Raw genomic sequence first — 20,512 nt, forward strand, 5'->3', positions numbered from 1 at the left:
ATTTGTTTGTATTTTTTAGTAGAGACGGGGTTTCACCGTGTTAGCCAGGATGGTCTCAATCTCCTGACTTCGTGATCCACCCGCCTCAGCCTCCCAAAGTGCTGGGATTACAGGCGTGAGCCACCGAGCCGGGCCAATCTTTGCTATTTTCTATCTGTGTTTCTTTGGGCTGCATTTTAGATCATTTATTTAGACTTATCTCTCAGTTCACTAATTTTATCTTCAGCTTATGTCTAATATGCTAATTTCATTATAAAATTTTCCATTTATAAAAGTTCTATTTTCTTCTTTTTCAAATATACTTTTCCATGTATCGTATTATCTTTACTGGAAATAGTTATTCTTACTTTCTGTGTCTGTTCCATTACTTTCAGATTTCAGGGTCTGTTACTGTTCTTGGTACCTTGTTCCCTTATGTGTTTTGTAATATTTTTATTGTAAGTTGCCTGTTTTTCTTGGAAAGTCATCTGTGAGACTTGTACTATTTCCAATGAGAAATCTACCCCATCCTAATCATGGTGCCTGTGTTATCTAATGGTTTTTTTTTCTCTGAGTACTTTTAAGATTTACTCTTTATCACTGGTTTTGAGCAATTTGATTGTGGTGTTCACTGGTTTAATTTTCTTCATGTTTCATGTGCTTTGAGGTTCATTGAACTTCTTTGTAGGTTTATAGTTTTTATTAAATTTCAAAAACTTTCAGCTGTTACTCCTTCAAATGTCTTCTGTCCACCTCATTTTCTGTCTGCCCTATTCAGATTACAGTGCATTGAAAGAATCCTTCATTGTTATTGATACTGGCCTTCAGAGTCTCCAATTCCGCCTGTTTCTTGAAGTCCCACATCAAACTGATGCTGTGTTTATTTTTTCTTATTTTTTTCTTTTTTCTTTTTTCTTTTTGAGACAGAGTCTCCCCGTCACCCAGGCTGGAGTGCAGTGTTGCAATCTCGGTGGCTCACTGTAACCTCTGCCTTCCGGGTTCAAGCGATTCTCCTGCCTCAGCCTCCCAAGTAGCTGGGATTACAGGCGCAGGCCACCACGCCCAGCTAATGTTTGTATTTTTAGGAGAGATGGGGTTTCACTGTGTTGGCCAGGCAGATCTTGAACTCCTGGCCTCAAGCAATCCGCCCACCTTGGCCTCCCAAAGTTCTGAGATTACAGGAGTGAGCCACCACGCCCGGCCCTCATCTTGTGTTTATGATTTTTGTTTCTTTTTTCTCTGTGTATTTCATCTTGAATACTTTCTATTGTGTCTTCAATTCACAGATGTTTTCTCTGTAATATTTAATCTGCCATTAATCCCAATCAGTGTATTTTTCATTGTACACATTGTAGTTTTCATCTCTAAAAGTACATTTTCAATATGTCTACTTAACTTTTTGAACATACAGAATAGTTATAACTGTTCCAGTGTCCTTATCTTTTATGTCAACCATGGGTATCAGTTTGGGGTTGATTTTGATTAGTCGCCTTATGATGAGTCATGTTTTCCTGCTTCTGTGCATGCCTGGTCCCCATCAAGCATTCAGCAGAATGCTGAGTTTCATATGTGTATAAGAAAATTACCTGAATCTGAGGAAAGATGTTAAGAAAAGATTAGGAGGAATACTGCCTAACATTCACATACGGCTGCAAATAGTGGCTGTTCCCACCAGCCAGGCTGAAAAGATTCATAATTCATGGAGCATTGAGAAGAGTACTCAGGAAGGTCTTGCCTCAGTAGTGAGGAATAACTAGCCCCAGACTGAACATTGTTCCAGATCCACCTAAAAAAATCATAAAAGCAACATCTGAAAGAATCAGACTATTTCAAAGTAACTAACTGCATCCCAGAACAAAGCTCAAGATTTGTAGGAATAAGAAATACCTAGAACCCAACAAGGTAAAATTAACTACATGTATCTCTATTTTTGAACTGCATTTCTTTAATTAACGTTGAACACCTTTCATGTGTTTATAAACCACTTTTATGTCTTGGTGTATGTGAACTACCTGTTTCTGTCCTTTACCCATTTCTTTTTTGGGTTGTGATCTTCTTTGTTAGGTATCTGGCTAATACAGTTGAAGAAGATGAAGAAGAAACCAAGTACGAAATTTTTCCATGGGCTTTAGGGAAAAACTGGAGAAAATTGTTCCCTAATTTCTTAAAGTTAAGGGACCAGCTCTGGGATAGAATTGACTATAGGGCTATTGTAAGCAGGCGATGTTGTGAGGAGGTAAGAATTTTAAAATGCTTTATATATGTAATCTTTGTTTTCTGTTTATCTTATTATCCTTGTTTTTTAATGTGCTTCTAATGTTTTGGTATTCTGGGTTTTTTTTTTTTTTCTAATATGTGGAGTAGACCATTGATCATTACCATGAATACAACTTGTGTATTACAATGTTGCTGTCTTATTATCACCATAACTAAAAACTGTCAACCGGGCAAGCCCTGCTCACGCCTGTAATCCCAGCACTTTGAGAGGCTGAGGCGGGTGGATCTCCTGAGGTCAGGAGTTTGAGACCAGCCTGGCCAACATGGTGAAACCCCATTTCTACTGAAAATACAAAAATTAGGCTGGGTGCGGTGGCTCACGCCTGTAATGCCAGCACTTTGGGAGGCCGAGGCGGGCAGATCACGAGGTCAGGAGATCAAGACCATCCTGGCCAACATGGTGAAACCCGTCTCTACTAAAAATACAAAAAAAATTAGCCGGGCGTGGTGGCAGGCGCCTGTAGTCCCAGCTACTTGGGAGGCTGAGGCAGGAGAATGGTGTGAACCCAGGAGGCGGAGCTTGCAGTGAGCAGAGATCGCGCCACTGCACTCCAGCCTGGGCGACAGAGCGAGACTCCATCTCAAAAAAAAAAAAAAAAGAAAAGAAAAGAAAAAGAAAAATACAAAAATTAACCAAATGTGGTGGCTGGTGCCTGTAATCCCAGCTACTTGGGAGGCTGAGGCAGGAGAATCACTTAAACCCAGGAGGCAGAGGTTGCGGTGAGCTGAGATGGTGCCACTGTACTCCAGCCTGGGCAACAGAGCGAAACTCCATCTCAAAAACAAACAAACAAATTGTCATTTCTATTTTTCAGAGCAGCCTACTTCTATAGTAAGTACTTTTTTTTTTTTTTTTTTTTTGAGACAGAGTCTTGCTCTGTCACCCAGGCTGGAGTGCAGTGGTGCGATCTCTGCTCACTACAAGCTCCGCCTCCCGGGTCCACGCCATTCTCTTGCCTCAGCCTCCCAATTAGCTGGGACTACAGGCGCCCGCCACCATGCCTGGCTAATGTTTTGTATTTTTAGTAGAGACGGGGTTTCGCCGTGTTAGCCAGGATAGTGTCAATCTCCTGACCTTGTGATCCGCCCGCCTCGGCCTCCCAAAGTGCTGGGAGTACAGGCGTGAGCCACCGTGCCCGGCTTATAGTAAGTACTTTTATTTTAGTGTATTTCTTCTGTCTAAAGGATCATCAATATATTGAAAAAGGGTGATATGAACAAACCAAAATATCTTATTTAGGATTACAATAACACTGGAGTTGAATAATAATTTCTGCTCAATAAAGTATGTGAAATTTCAGGTTCCCAAAATTGAAACACTATTTAACACATATATTAAATGGTATACAATTTAAATATTCTTTAAAATCATAACTCTTTTCACAAAGAATATATTGTTTCCTTAATGCCAAATCTTTTAGGATAAATCAGCAAGACACTAAAAATTTAATAATCAGTTATTTTACCAAATGTTCTGGTTTTTAATAAAGTCACTATTTCAAACCACAGAAAAATTCTAGAGTAGAAAATTAAATGGAAAGCAGTGGTCACTGTAAGCTCTAGTATTAGTTAAGAAAAATTTGATAAATGTTGATATACTTGCAAATCTTAAGATTTGATAGAATTAACTTATTCATTAATATACATTGATTTAGTGAGCACTTAGTAAATACATACCAGAAACTATATTATTTCTTTTAATTTAAAAAGGGCAGGCAGGCATGGTAGCTCACACCTGTAATCCCAGCACTTTTGGAGGCTAAGGTGGCCTGGATCACTTGAGTCCAAGAGTTCAAGACCATCCTGGGTAACATGGCAAAACACTGTCTCCACAAAAAATACAAAAAATTAGGTAGGCGTGGTGGTGCACACCTGTAGTCCCAGCTACTTGAGAGGCTGTGGTGTGAGAATCACCTGAGCCCAGAAGATTCAGGCTGCAGTGAGCCATGATTATGCCACTGCCCTCCAGCCTCAGCAACAGAGCAAGACCCTGTCCCAAAAAATAAAAATAAAAAAGGCTTGAAGCAAAAATAGCAGTATTACATCTATTAATTCTAGGCAGTAGGGATATGGATGTTTGTTATATTATTCCTAATGCTTTTTCATAATTTTAAAATTTAGCAACATTTAAAAAAATTAATGGAACTTGTTTTTCCTCTTCAAAAAGGTCACCTTATTTAAATGAATTTAATTCCATTATCCTTATCACAATACTTTGTTTCCTTCTGTAGCACTGAATAAAATTTGTAATTATTTATTTGCTTATCTATTGTCTAAACAATAAACTGTAAATGTAATGAAGTAAAAAATCTAGTACACTTCTAATATCTCCCATCTCTGTCCTCACACTTCAATTACAACAATCATGCATTACTCTCTTTTACTGAGAAAAGAGAAGCAGTAGAACAGACTGTCCACGTGCTCACATCTTATCGTCTATCCTACCTACATGCGTACCCCTATATTCTGCCTTCCCTTTGTTACTGTGAAAGAACGATCTTTGCTCCTATCCAAATCCATTCCCTCTACTTGTGCACTAGATCTCATCTTTTCTTGCTTTCTCAAGGACATCACATTCCAGTAATTGTCCCCTTTCCAGCATTTCACATTTTTTATTTTATTGGATCACTGCCATCAGAATGTAGAATTGCTCTAAGATATCCATCAATAAAAACAAAAACAAAAACTTTATCCCCCAGCTACCACTACATTTCTCTGCTTTGCCTCCCTTATAACCAAACTCCTTGAAGAATTGCTTGTATTCTATCTCTACTTCTGTTCTTTCCATTCTGTTTGAACCTGTTATATAAAGTATTTTTCCTATCATTCTGTAGAAACTTGTCAGGCCACCAAATATCTCTATATGGCCAAATCCCAAGGTTAATTTGTATTCCTCAATCTACTCAATTTAGCAGCATTTGACACTATCCCTCATTTCTTCCTGAAACACTGTCTTCACTTGGTTTTGAGGATACCAGGTTTTTTTCAGTCATTTTTGCCAGTTCCTTTTCACCTCACCAACTTCATTAGAGTGCCCCAGGGCTCAGACTTAGGATCTCTTCTCCTTTCTATTGGTATTAACTTATTAGGTGACCCCATTCACTCTCAAGGCTTTAACACTAACAACTAATAATTTCTTCCAATTCCAGATCTGCATACGAAATCGCCTGTTGGTATTTTTTGTCTAATTGATACCTCAAACTTAACGTGCCTAAAATTGAACTCCTGACTCCTTGACACAGACCTCCAGATTTGCTCCTCCTGCAGTCTTCCACATATTCATAAGTAGCAACTCTATTGTTTTAGTTGCTCAGGCCAAAAAATTATTTCCATTTACCCTTCTTTTTCTTATATTTGTACCTTGAAAAAATATCCAGCATCCTACCATTTCTCACCACCTCCACCACTAATACTATACTTTTATTGTCACCTCTTGCCTTGATTACTGGCATAAGTTTCCAAATAGTCTCTCCCACCCCCACCTTTTTTTTTTTTTTAAAGACAGGGTCTTACTCTGTTACCCAGGCAGTAGTGCAGTGGTGAGATCATGGCTCATTGCAGCCTTAACCTCCTAGACTCAAGCGATCTCCTGCCTTAGCCTCCCAAGTAGCTGGGACTACAGGCATGTGCCACCATGCCCAGCTAATTTATTTTTTGTAGAGATGGGGTCTCGCTATGTTGCCCAGGCCGGTCTCAAAATCCTGTGCCTAAGCAATCCTCCCACCTTGGCCTCCCAAAGTGCTGGGATTGCAGGTGTGAGCCACCATATGCAGCTATAATCTATTCTTCATACAGCTGCCAGAGTAATTTTTTTTTTAGGTAAGTCAAATCATGACTTCTCTACTCAAAAGCCTCCAGTGTCTTCCAGCCTTACATAGGGTAAAAGAGAAAGTCCCTGTCATGGTCCTACATGGTCTATCAGCCCTCCTCCCTTATCTCTTTGATTTCATCTCATATCTTTGCTCTTCCACTCAAGCTACACCGGCCTCCTTACCTCAAAGATACCAGTTACACTCCCATCTCATGGTCTTTGCACTTACTATTCCCATAACCTGGAATGTTGTTCCCCAAATATCAGTATGCTTCACTTCCTAACTACGTTCAGGATTCTGCTTAAATGTCACCTCAGAGAGACCTTTCCTTATCACCTTATATAGAGTAGTATCTCCCTCCATGGAATAGAAGTGTCCAGAAATATACCGTCACAATTATGTTCAATTGAATTTTGACAAGGGTGCCAAGAAAATTCAATGGGGAAAATGTAGTCTTTTCAACAAATGGTGCTATGACAACTGGATATCTACAAGCAAAAGAATGAAGCCGAACCTCTGGTTTATACCATATATAAAAATTAACTCAAAATGGATCAAAGACCTAAATGTAAAACCTAAAACCATAAAACTCTTAGAAGAAAACATAGGGGTAAGTCTTCGTGACCTTGAATTAGGTTTCTTAGACATGATACCAAAAGTAACATGTAACAAAAGAAAATATAAAATAGACATCATCAAAATTAAAACCTTTTGTCCTTCAAAGGATACCAAGTGAAGAGATGACCTATAAAATGAAAAAAATTTTTTGCAAGTCATCTATTTGATAAGGGTCTTGTATCTAGAAATATAAAGAGCTTTACAACTTAATAATAAAAAGACAATCAATTTAAAAAATGGGCAAATAATCCAAATAGACATTTCTCCAAAGAAGGTATGCAAATTGCTAAAACACACACACACACACACACACACACACACACACTTGAAAAGATGTTCAACATCATTAGCTGTCAGGGATTGCAAATCAAAAGCACGATGAGATATTACTTCACACCCACTATGATGGCTATAAACAAAACAAAAATAAAAGTATTGAAGAGGATGTGGAGATACTGGAACCCTCATACACTTCTTATGGAAATGTAAAATGGGGAAGTTGCTTTGCATAACAGTCTGGCAATTCCTCACAAGGTTAACATAGAGTTACCATATGATCCAGCAAGTCTAGTCCTGGCTATATATGCCAAAGGGTAAAAACAAAACTATGTCCACACAAAAAACTTTAACATGAATGTTCATAGCAGTATTCATAATAGCCAAAGTACAAACAACCTGAATGTCCATCAGCTGATAGAATGGATAAACAAAATAAGGTATATCCCTACAATAAAATATTACTTGGCAATTAAAAGGAATGAAGTACCTGGTTCAAGCTACAACGCAGATAACCTTGAAAAGATTATGCTACATAAAAGAAGCCTGTCACAAAGGACGACATATTGTATGATTCCATTTATATGAAAGGTCCAGAATGGACAAATTCAAAGACAGAAAGTAGATTAGTAGTTGTTATGGGCTGAGAGAAGGGAGAAAATGGAGTGTGATTGCTTTATATATAGAGTGATGAAAATGCTTCAAAATTGACCGTGGTTATGGTTGCTTAACTCTGAATATATTGAATATCATTGAATTGTACATTTCAATTGGGTGATTCTAAGGTATTTTAATTACATTTCAAAGCTGTTAAAATTAAAAGTAGTTCCTCCCACTATTACTCTGTATTCCCTTTCTCAGTTCCAATTTTCCTCATAGCACTCAACCATCATGTAACAGACTGCTTTTTACTTATTTATCTTGTTAATAAATTTCCTCCCACTAAAATACAGATTCCAAGAGAGCAGGGTCTTTATTTTGCATTTGTTTGTTTTGTTTTGTTTTTGTTTTTGAGACAGGGTCTCATTCTGTTACCCAGGCTGCCAGCTGCAGTGTGCAATCGTAGCTCACTGCAACCTTGAACTCCTGGGCTCAAGCAATCCTCCCACCTTGGCCTCCCAAAGTTCTGGGATTACAGATGTGAGCCATAGTGCCTGACCTTTTTTTTTTTTTTTTTAAGACAGAGTTTCATTCTGTCACCCAGGCTGGAGTGCAATGGCGTGATCTTGGCTCACTGCAACCTCCACCTCCTGGGTTCAAGCGATTCTCCTGCCTCGGCTTCCCAAGTAGCTAGGATTACAGCTGGGATTACAGGCATGCGCCACCACGCCCGGCTATTTTGTATTTTTAGTAGAGACAGGGTTTTCACCATGGTGGCCAGGCTGGTCTCAAACTCCTGATCTCAAGTGATCCACCTGCCTCAGCCTCCCAGAGTGCTGGGATTACAGGCATGAGCGCCCAGCCTTATTTTGTTCTTATTCTATCTCCAGAGCCTAGAACAGTGCCTGGCACATAGTGGGTAGTCAATAAATATTTGTTGACTGATCAAATGAATGGAACTTCCAATTCTTTTTCATACCTTCTTATCCATTAAATAGGGAAACAATAAACTATAAAATAATTATTCACTGAGCTCACTTTGCACTGCCGCTTACTCCAGTGGCAGATAGAGAAGCTGTTTTTTGGCTGTTCCAACAAGGTACATTTGAATCCTGTAGGCGTATAGAAAAGGTAACTGCCTAGTAGATTTTATCCTGTTCTGTTAAGTGTTCACTGGACAACTACTTTATGAATAACACACCAAGTTCAGTGCCCTGGGAGTTTATTGTAAAGAAGTATTATATCACCCCATTCCCATTCCTGAAATAGCAAGACATACTGTTGAAAATGTAACTGTTCTATACATTTGTTACTGAAAGCCTGGCATACTGCCAAACGAAACATTTCTTTAGTCCCATATCCTAAAATAACCTCAAGTTAAGATAGTAGCTACAAACTAGCTTATAATAATAATACTTTACATTTGCACAGTGCTTTACAAATTATGACTTTTACAGAAATTATCACACAAATAGCTGTGGGGGTGGTGGCATCCTCATTTCACAGCTAATGAAACTGAGGACCGAGGAGGCTGGGATTTACTCAAAATCATAGAAGTTGCAGAGCCAGAACATCTAATGACTTCCTAGTGTTCTCTTTTTTCTGTGACATCTAGCCTCCATATAAACCTCTCATATTGGTTAGTTTAGAAAATGCATTTATTTCTTGTCTTGGGAATTAAATAGCCGCAGTATTCCCTCCATTTCACAGATGCAAAAACTGTGGCTTAGTAAGATTGTGATTTGTCCATGGCCATGAAGTTAATAAGTAGCAGATACTAATAACTTAGTGCTCTTTGAATTATACACCACTGACATAAGAAAGAACATGTGCTGTCTTTTCAAATAGTGAGTTTTGTAATTGTCTCTTTTCTTTTTTTAATCTTGGCTGCAAAGAAGCTAAAAGCCAGGTATTATCCTTGACCACATCAACTCTATTACATTTTATTACTGGCATGTCTGCTTTCCCCTTTTAGTCGAAATTTCCCTTTTGGGTCTAAGCTCAATGAAATTTTTTCCCCTTTTTTCTCAGCTGCCTCATTCCTTTTTGGAAAGAGATGGGTTGTGATTAAATTGGAAAATATATATAGGGCTTCTCCAGAAAAGAGTGGACTATTTCTTTGTTTATTCTGATTTTATCTTCTTACCTGATGATCTTATCAACAACTCCTTTAAGGTGGGATTTATTTACATTGGTGATGGCTTAATTTCTAAACTGGTTCACACATTAGGGAGGATGCCTATCTAATGAGAGAGTTAGACTACACTTCCAGCCCCTTTCATGCATCATGGAGGGTAGCAATTTAATCAAGAAGTTTTTCTCTATTCCCGTTAATACTCTGGCCAAGATGCCACAATATCATCATAGCTGAGTTCTTCACTATCTATTACTTGATTCCAGATTAGGAATTTAGAAAGCAATGAGATAAGTAGTGTGTTTTGACAGAATAATCCAATGACAGTATGCAAAAGAGATCCAATATAGGGAATGTATTGGAAACTGCTAAACTTGCTATAGCTGGAAACAAGGTTGTGAAGAAAATTGATAGCAGTGCTGAAGAAAATGAAACAGATGTTAGAAATGTTAAAAAATTATAATTATCATTACCTGGTAACCAGTTGGATATAGGGTACATGGGAGAGGGAACTGTAAGTTTCAAATATATATAACAGGAAGAGTAATGGGTTCCATAATGGAAATAGGGAAGCCTACAGAAGCAAACTGGATTCTTTGGGAAGATAAGGAATTTGGTATATAGACATGAATGTAAGGCAGTAACTGGATATAATTAAATGAATGGTCAACAGGTATGGTAAAAGTCATTACGTATAAATGATGCTTCGAGTATTTAAGAGATTCAAGGTCAAAGTAATATTAATACTTTTTAAGAACTTTCCAGGCACTGTTCTAAGTATTGCCCATGTATTATTAACTCTCACAATTCTTAGATCTAGCTAGGTAATCCCAGATAAGAAACTAAGGAACAGAGAGGTTAAGTGACTTCTTCAAAGACACACAATAAGTAAAGCAGCACTCCAGTATTCAGGCCTAGGCAGTCTGACTCCAGAGTCAGTGCTTTTTTTTTTTTTTTTTTTTTTAATTTTTTCATGCCTATCCCTGTCTGCTCCCCATTCCTCCCCATTCTCCTCCCTGCCAGGGAGAGGAGAAGCTGACTGGGTTGGTTTTGACAGTCAGTGCTTTTAACACCTATATTATACTACCTCTTGAGATCACAGACAGGTAGAGTATATACACAGAAAAACAGAGGGCCAAGTATCAAATTTTAGGAACACTGACCCAAGGCACCCCCCAATCACTAAAAATGACAAAAGAATAAGATAAAGTAAAAAAGGGGGATGTTTCTAGTACATCAACTGCTACTAGTGTTTCAGAGAAGTCCGTTTCATAGAATCACAGCATTGGGGGACTGAAAGTGACCTATTTTCTCATATAAAAGACACCCTATGGCCCAGAAAGTTGTGTAATTTGCCCAAGGTCATAGAAGTAACGGATTTTTTTTTTTTTTTTTTTTTTGAGATAGTTTCACTGTTGTCACCCAGGCTGGAGTGTAATGGCAAGGTGTAAGCTCACTGCAACCTCCACCTCCCAGGTTCAAACGATTCTCCTGCCTTAGCCTCCCAAGTAGCTGGGATTATAGACATGCGCCACCATGCCCAACTAATTTTGTATTTTTAGTAGAGATGGGGTTTCACCATGTTGGCCAGGCTGGTCTCGAGCTCCTGGCCTCAAGTGATCCGCACACCTCAGCCTCCCAAAGTGCTGGGATTACAAGTGTGAGCCACTGCACCTGCCAGAGTAACAGAATTAAGATGAAAATCTAGCTCTCTTGACCCTGGTAGTTTTATTTTTAATTCACTTATCACAGTAAAATTCTAATTATATGATTATATGTGTATAAAATATATGTAGACATATTTAAAAATAACCATGATTGTGTATTTTCCTAGGTGGGTTAGTATGTGGAGAGACTATGATGAACTTATTGCAAAAATAACAGTTTTTGGCTGAGCGAGGTGGCTCACGCCTGTAATCCCAGAACTTTGGGAGGGCGAGGAGGGTGGATCACTTGAGGTCAGGCATTCAAGACCAGCCCGGCCAACATGGTGAAACCCTGTCTCTACTAAAAATACAAAAATTAGCTGGGCATGGTGGCAATTACAGGAGTGGGCCATTGCACCTGGACTTTCTAAATGTTTTGAAAATCACTGCTCTAGGCAATTAATAAGGCTCTGTCCAGCTCTCGAATGTTACAGTTCTCATTTACTTTGGGTCATTGATGACTGTAACTAAAGACTTTTGCTTAGAATGCTTAGAAGTTTTAGATTTCATGAGGTTAGCACATATGTACAGTTCCCCAGCTTGACTTAAATAATTGTCATTTGCCAGATCCTCACTATGTGATGATTTTACTCATCTAGTCCTCAGAATAATCCTGTGAAGTAGATGATATGCCCATTTTAGAGATGAAGAAATTGAGTCCCAGAAAAGTTAAATAACTTGCCCAGTATTATACAGCTAGCAAGTGGCAGTGCCAGGGTAAGAAACCAAGTGTACCCGGACTCTAAAGCCCATGTTTTATTTAACAAACCTTATAGAACAATGCCTGGAAGATAGTGAGGCTTTATAAATAATGCCTCATCTGATCCTCGCAGCAACCCTCTAAAATAGACATTTATTATCTCCATGCTGACAAAACTGAGGAACAGCGAGGTTAAATAACTTACCTATGTTCTTATTCACCATATCTCTTGTCATAATTGCAGACATTTTAAGATTACCATAACACACATAGCTGGGAACCTTAATTATTTTTATTTTTACTTTTATTTTTTGAGACGGAGTCTCTCTCTGTGGCCCAGGCTGGAGTGCAGTGACGCGATCTCGGCTCACTGCAAGCTCCGCCTCCCGGGTTCACGCCATTCTCCTGCCTCAGCCTCCTGAGTAGCTGGGACTACAGGCGCCCACAACCACGCCCGGCTAATTTTTTTGTATTTTTAGTAGAGACGGAGTTTCACCGTGTTAGACAGGATGGTCTTGATCTCCTGACTTTGTGATCCACCCGCATCGGCCTCCCAAAATGCTGGGATTACAGGCGTGAGCCACCGCGCCCGGCCAATTAACTTTTTTTAACCCAATACATTCCAAAGTTAAGAATCACATATTGTTTTGGAGTAACTGTATTATCTTTCCCAAACTTAGAATATTCAGAATTAAAAAATAAATACCCTGACAACCTGGAAGATTGCTTCAGTCCTATTTCCTGTTTAAAATAATTTACTTTGTCAATTATTGTCTTAAAGATCCAAGCAATGAGTCACTTTTTAGTAATATTGCCTTATCTGGAAGTGCTTTGTTTTTTAAATCAGCAATTTGGATTTTTATCTTCACTTTAGAGACAGTTGTTCTTGAGTTATAAGTTTTGAACTCAATTTTAGTAAATTTTGAAATATTACTAAAATTCTAAAAGTTAGCTTTCTATTATAGGTTATGGCCATTGCACCAACCCATTATATCTGGCAAAGAGAACGTTCTGTTCATCACAGTGGAGCTGTCAGAAACTACAACAGAGATGAAGTTCAGCTGCCCCGGGGACCTAGTGCCACACCAGTAGATTGTTCACTCTGTGGTAAAAAAAGAAGATATGTTAGACTGGGATTGTCTTCATCATCATCTTTATCCAGTCATACAGCAGGGGTGACAGAAAAACATTCTCAGGACTCATACAACTCACTGTCAATGGACATAATAGGTGATCCTTCTCAAGCTTATACTGGTTCTGAAGGTATGATTTAGTAATATGCCAGAATTAGATTTATGCATGTTGTTTACTGAGCTCTAGTCAGTCCTTTCTGGCGGGGATACATAATAATTTATATACTCCAACAATATGAGTTAAATTAATCTTGAAACTTTCTCCCCTTTCAGTTACTTTTTGTCTTGTGTCCATATTTGTTTTGTGGTGACCCACCTAAACAGATTTTTAATGTGACCTATGTTAAGTTGAAAACTAATGCACCATAAGCCTCAGTATTTTAAGAGCCTGAATCATTTTTTTGAAATGTTTATTTTATTCAAAAGGGTTTCAAGAAGAAAATAAATTTACTTGTAATCTCACCTTCCAACTATTGGTTTCCTTCTGTATACTTTTCTAACAAAATTAGAACCATACTATATATCTAGGCCTGCTTTTTTCATTTATCACGAAGTATTTTCCCATGTCATTATTGAGTCCTCCAAAACCAGTTTTTTTTTTTTTTTTTTTTTTGAAACAGAGTCTCACTTTGTCGCCCAGGCTGGAGTGCAGTGGGACAATCTTGGCTTACTGCAGCCTCCGCCTCCCAGGTTCGGGTGATTCTCATGCCTCAGCCTCCTAAGTATCTGGGATTACAGACATGTGCCACCATGCCCAGATAGTTTTTGTGTTTTTAGTAGTGAGGGATTTCACCATGTTGGCCAGGCCGGTCTCGAACTCCTGGCCTCAAGTGATCTGCCTTCCTCGGCCTCCTAAAATGCTGGGATTACGGACACGAGCTACCGCACCCAGGCCAAAACCTGATTTTTAATTCTGACATGGTATAAGTACCATAATTTCTTTATATATTTCATTTTGTTGGGATTTAAGTGGCTTTCAGCAATAGAGTATTAATTAGAAAAGAACCTTATTAGCTGAAAAAATACAACTGCACCATAATTTCACTCAAATTATTTTTATATATAGTATTATCTGACATTTCTTTTCTAGAAATGTCTAGAAATAGTACTAGAATAATATTCTACTATCAGTGATCCTTTTTACTTACAAAGCCTTCCAGATTTTCACCCATCTCAAGACAGGGTGGACAGATTTTTCATGGTCCTTTCTAATTCTATCATGAGAAATTAACACACCTGCATTATTTCAAAATTTTACCTATTTGTTTTTACCACAAAGATATTAATAGTGGCTACTGAAGCTTTACTAAAGGAGAAACTAGACTCTAAGATTCTTGAAGGTAGGGGTTATGCCTCAGTCATTGTTCCATTTCTTGGCCATAGTAATCACTCAACAAATTTGCACGACAGTATAGTCTCTTCCTTTTCAACACCTTCAGGCATATTTTTTATTATGCTGAGGCAAGAGGATCACTTGAGGCCAGGAGTTTGAGACCATCCTGGGCAACATAGCAAGACCCCATCTATTTAAAAAATTGTCTTTTAGCATCCCTCCTTTCCCAGCTTCCTTTACTCTTTGATCCTTATAATAGGTAAGCTTTACTGAATGTTTACAATGTCCAAGGCAATATATAATGCATTTTATATTCATAATATCATTTAATATTCACAGCCAACTTTAGGGTGAATACTATACCTCCACTCAGCAGATAAGGAAACTGAAGCTTAGAGAAGTTAAATAATTTGCCCAAGGAGCTGGAGTGACATGTGAACCCCGGTCTCTGACTCCAAACTAGAGCCTGAATTCCTAAATATTATGGTCTACTGCCCTTTTGATGCAATCCTGCTGTTGGCAGTGAAAATAAGCTGCCACGGAAGCCTTCTAGCAGACTACTAAGGAGGTGGCGAAAGCATTAAGATCTAAGTCCCTGATGAAAGGCTACATGAAGTGAGCTGGGAGAGAATTCCAAGAATTTGAACAGATATTTACAGAAAGCAAAACAGAAGCAGTTATACATATTTTATTCAGACCAACCACTGTAGGTATCAACAGTAATAACACTCCACAGTATAGGCCTTGACATCTCAACAGGAAATTTGAGTGCACCTGGGGAAGAAGGGGCTGTGCCAGTCAGTATACTTTGGAGAAAAAATAAAGGTCTTTGAGGGATTGTGGATGAAAAGTGGGGTATTAACTTAGGGGAGTTGTAGAAGGAACTGTGTGCTTTCATCCTTTCACTGGGTGAAAGCCATGATTTAGGATTTATAGGTCCTATACAGGAAGGAACAAGTATTTACCCATAGCCATTTTATTCTGAGTATTAACCCATGGTTAACTGTAAAACTCTTTGTTTCAGGATGTCAGAGTGTAAGCAATATAAAGGAAAAGTATTGATTGTACACATATTTTACCAGTAAAAATATACATTCATTTTCCTCCAATAGTTTTAATGGAGAGTGAGCTCACTGGGAGTAGAGGGGAGAGTGCAGGATAATAGGAACACATGATGCTACAGGAGTGGGATAAGTCTCTCACTGCCTAAACAGCTGCTGATTTAGTGACCTCTACTAGCAAAATTTTCTTCCTCCATTCCACCTAAGATTGGAATCATCTGATAGTATGTGGTTGCAAAAACTGAATTCAGCATTCTCCAAGAAAGACACAAAAGTTTATGCTCTGCTTTAGACTTCTATGCGAAACTTAGCATAGATGGTGATCAGTGCTTCCACCTTTCTTTCAAACACAAGCAAACAACTCCTCAATTTGCAGGTAAAGACATGTTTTCCTACCTTAAAATTTTTTTTGTTAAAAACAACACATTCAAATAAAAGTTTTAGATAAACATGTTTATGACATTTATTAAGAACAAAATATTTTTCAATTTGACAAGGTGGGGTAAAAATACTGTCAAAAATTTGACTTTTGGGGCCGGGCACGGTGGCTTGTGCCTGTAATCCCAGCACTTTGGGAGGCCAAGAGGGGGCGGATCACCTGAGGTCAGGAGTTCCAGACCAGCCTGGCCAACATGGTAAAACCCTGTCTCTATTAAAAATACAAAAATTAGCTGGGTGTGGTGGTACATGCCTGTAATCCCAGCTACTCAGGAGGCTGAGGCAGGAGAATCGCTTGAACCTGGGAGGTGGAGGTTGCAGTGAGCTGAGATGGTGCCACTGCACTCCAGCCTGTGCAAAAAGAGCAAAACTTCGTCTCAAAAAAAAAAAAAAAAATTGACTTTTGGGAAAGATAGATGAAGCATTCTTTTTTTTTTAGATGAAGCATTCTTTACATATTTATATACATCACAATCACCAATCACACGCTAGATACTTAATCTCATTTAACATCCAACCCCCTAAGAAATCTTGAAGTGGCATTATTATATTCATTTTACTGATGAAAAAACAAACTCAGAAAAGTCACACCATTACCAGGTAAAACAATAACAGAAACAAGATGGGAACCCAGTTCTATCTGAATATATAACATATTTTTATAATAACTAAACTACTATTGTTTCTCCTTACTGTATGCTGTTGTAAGCTTTATGACGCCTGGGCTGGTCCATGTGAAACATAGATATATATTATGTATTATCTGAGGACCCATGAGATTTTAGAGTGAAGCCAAGGGAAAAAAAAATATGCCAAGCTTTAGCCCTGGATCATATAGGGAGGCATGTAACATTACAACTGTTAAATAATCTAAAACCAAGTAATTTTTCCTCAGAAATAAATCCTTCTTTGAATTTTCTTACTTATTTTTGTCATTACCACTGTTCTAGTCACCCAGGTTTAAAATTCTTACACTTAATGAAGGTATAATTAGGGCATATAAGTTAATAATGTGATAAGGGCTGTGCTAAGTATATGATCAACATTGAGGAGCACAAAAGATTTCAGAATTAATTCTGTGGGGTGAGAGGTTTGGTGAAGGTTTTTCAAAGTAAGATATTAGCTGGGCATTGACTGAGTCCTGTTTTGCCCAGAGAATTAAGGGAAGGGCCTTCTGAATAGCAGACAGAAGTTTGAAAATACAGCTGGTCCTTGACTTACCTATGGTTGCTATACACATTCAGTGGAAAGCTGTATCATGGTCTCTCTTGATGCTGGGCAGAGGCAGTGAGCTGCAGCTTCCAGGCAGCCATGAAATCATGAGAGTAAACAACTGATTTTCGACAGTGTACCGCATTGCCAGATGATGTTGCCCACCTGTAGCCTAATGTAAGCGTTCTGAGCACACTAAGGTAGGCTAGGCTAAGCTGTGATGTTCGGTGGTTAGCTGTATTAAACGCATCTTTTTAAAAATATTTTTTGCTGGGCGCGGTGGCTCACATCTGTAATCCCAACACTTTGGGAGGCCGAGGCGGGTGGATCACCTGAGGTCAGGAGTTCGAGATCAGCCTGACCAATATGGTGAAACCCCATCTCTACTGAAAATACAAAATTTAGCTGGGCATGGTGCGGGTGCCTGTAGTCCCAGCTACTCGGGAGGCTGAGACAGGAGAATTGCTTGAACCCGGGAGGCGGAGGTTGCAGTGAGCCAAAATCATGCCCCTGTACTCCAGCCTGGGCAACAGAGTGAGACTCCATCTCAAAAAAGAAAAAAATAAAATAAAAACATTTTTTAAAAATAGAGATGGGGTCTCACATTGCCCAGGCTGGTCATGAACTCCTGGCCTTAAGCAATCCTCCACCTCTGTCTGCCAAAGTGCTGGGATTACAAGAGTGAGCTACTGTGCCCAGCCAAATGCTTTTTTCCCCCACCAGCCAGGATCTTGCTCTGTCACCTGGGCTGGAGTGTAGTGATGTGATCACAGCTCACTGTAGCCTCAACCTCCTCTGTTCAAGTGATCCTCCCACCTCAGCCTCCTGAGTAGCTGGCACTACAGGCACGTGCCACCATGCCCAGCTTTTTTTTTTTTTTTCTTTTTTTTTTTGTAGAGACTTCCTATGTTGCCCAGACTGGTGCTGGTCTCGGACTCCTGACCTCAAGCAATCCTCCCACCTTGGCCTCCCAAAGTGGTGGGGTTACAGATGTAAATCACTGCACCTGGCCCAAATGCATTTTGACTTAATGATATCTTCAAGTTACAAGAGTTTATTGGGACATAACTCCATTGTAAGTCAAAAAGTCTCGATATATAAATTTTCTCTCTGCATCCAATGAATTACCAGCTTATCTGGTTGTTCTTTCATAATATTTTGTTTCTTTCTTTGTTTGTTTGAGATGGAGTTTTGCTTGTTGCCCAGGCTGGAGTGCAATGGTGCGATCTCAGCTCACTGCAACCTCCATCTCCTGGGTTCAGGCAATTCTTGTGCCTCAGCCTTCCCAGTAGCTGGGATTACAGGCATGCTCCACCATGCCCAGCTAGTTTTTGTATTTTTAGTAGAGACAGGGTTTCACCATGTTGGTCAGGCTGGTCTCGAACTCCTGACCTCAGGTGATCCACCTGTCTCAGCCTCCCAAAGTGCTGGGATTACAGGCGTGAGCCACCGCGCCCGACCTGTCTGCTCATTTTCTACGATTAATCACCTTATATATGTATTACTATGAAAGCTCTGATTTAACAGTTTTTTCCTCCAGTTAAATTCTCATAGACACCACTAACAGATTAACTTAAAATACCTTTTACATGACCATAGAAACTTCAGAAGTTCCCACTGCCTCTGAAAATATGAAGTTCAAAATGAAAGCCTCCCACAATCGCAGAACTATATACTATGTATACCTAAATTTCCCTCTAGAACAACCAAGTCAACAGATAAAACAATACATGACCCTTGGCTGGGCATGGTGGCTCACGCCTGTAATCCCAGCACTTTGGGAGGCTGAAGCGGGCAGATCACTTGAGGTCAGGAGCTCGAGACCAGCCTGGCCAACATGGTGAAACCCCATCTCTACTAAAAATAGAAAAATTAGCCAGGCGTGGTGGTGGTGCATGCCTGTAATTCCAGCTACTCCAGAGACTGAGGCAGGAGAATTGCTTGAACCTGGGAGGTGGAGGTTGCAGTGAGCTGAGACTGCACCACTGCACTCCAGCCTGGGTGACAGAGCTAGATGCCATCTCAAAAAACAAAAACAAAAACATGATCCAGTGTAGGTTTAAAGACATCAGGAAAGTTTTAGTGACTATTTACTGGGTATAAAAGGTAGGGCCTCTGGAAGGCATTGGGATGACAGTTTTCGGTCAGTCTCAAATCTTTAGTTTACAGGACAGCCAGACATAGACATAGAAGGCTAACATTAGAAGGTATCTGTCCCATAAACCAGACTGTAAACATACTTATTGTTTGGAGGAAGGCTGAAGAAAGAGCTTAAGCTGGGCCTTGATTGACTAGAATGGACAACTACCAAAGAAAAAGAAGAGAAATAGAAGAAAACTACACACACACACACACACACACACACACACACACACACACACACACACACAAAGGGAAGTGAGGGGAAATGAATGGATACTGTTAAAAAGGTCTTGTTCAATTCAACATCTACTGAGCACCATGTGCCAAACAGAAACAATGTATTCTCCATGAAACAGGAGCCAAGGGCAGAACTTTTCTTGGCTCTTAAGCCAGCCCCTTCTCAAAGTAGACAATTGGGGATTGACACAAAATAGGCATTCAAAGCATTAAATGAATAACATAATTTCATTACTAGCTAAATAGAAGGGTAGAAGAAAAGGGAGTATTCCATGATGGAATTAAAAAATGGACTTCAGGCCACGTGCAGTGGCTCATTCCTGTAATCCCAGCAGTTTGGGTGGCTGAGTCGGGTGGATCACCTGAGGTCAGGAGTTTGAGATCAGCCTGGCCAACATGGTGAAACCCTATCTCTACTAAAAATACAAAAATTAGCCAGGCGTGGGAGCGTGTGTCTGTAATCCCAGCTACTTGGGAGGCTAAGACAGGAGAATTGCTTGAACCTAGGAGGTGGAGGTTGCAGTGAGCCAAGACCATGCCATTGCACTCCAGTCTGGGCAACAGAGCGAGACTCTGTCTCAAAACAAACAAACAAACAAACAAACACTTCAGAGCTTCTATATAGTCATGCGCCACATAATGACATTTCACTCAAGGTGGGACTGCATACAGGATGGTGTTCCCCTAAGATTATAATGGCTGGGCATGGTGGCTCACACCTGTAATCCTAGAACTGTGGGAGGCCGAGGCAGGTGGATGGATCACTTAAGGTCAGGAGTTTGTGACCAGCCTGGCTAACATGGTGAAACCCTGTCTCTTAAAAAAATACAAAAATTAGCCGGGCGTGATGGCAC

General features: G+C 39.5%; 1 protein-coding gene across 3 annotated transcripts in view; it reads left to right on the plus strand.

Annotated features, from left to right (window-relative positions):
- Window positions 1–20,512, plus strand: part of SPDYA (speedy/RINGO cell cycle regulator family member A) — a 39,777-nt gene that overhangs the window by 16,271 nt on the left and 2,994 nt on the right. For 2 of the 3 annotated variants that reach the window (NM_182756.4, NM_001142634.2), the window contains 2 exons: window positions 2,044–2,215; window positions 13,068–13,365. In NM_182756.4, the coding sequence (NP_877433.2) occupies window positions 2,044–2,215; window positions 13,068–13,365 (470 nt within the window). Of the gene's footprint in view, window positions 1–2,043; window positions 2,216–13,067; window positions 13,706–20,512 lie in introns of those variants that run through there. The other variant, NM_001008779.1, reaches the window with a different exon arrangement.

The sequence above is a fragment of the Homo sapiens genome, chromosome 2, assembly GCF_000001405.40.
Source record: "Homo sapiens chromosome 2, GRCh38.p14 Primary Assembly".
NCBI lineage: Eukaryota > Metazoa > Chordata > Mammalia > Primates > Hominidae > Homo > Homo sapiens.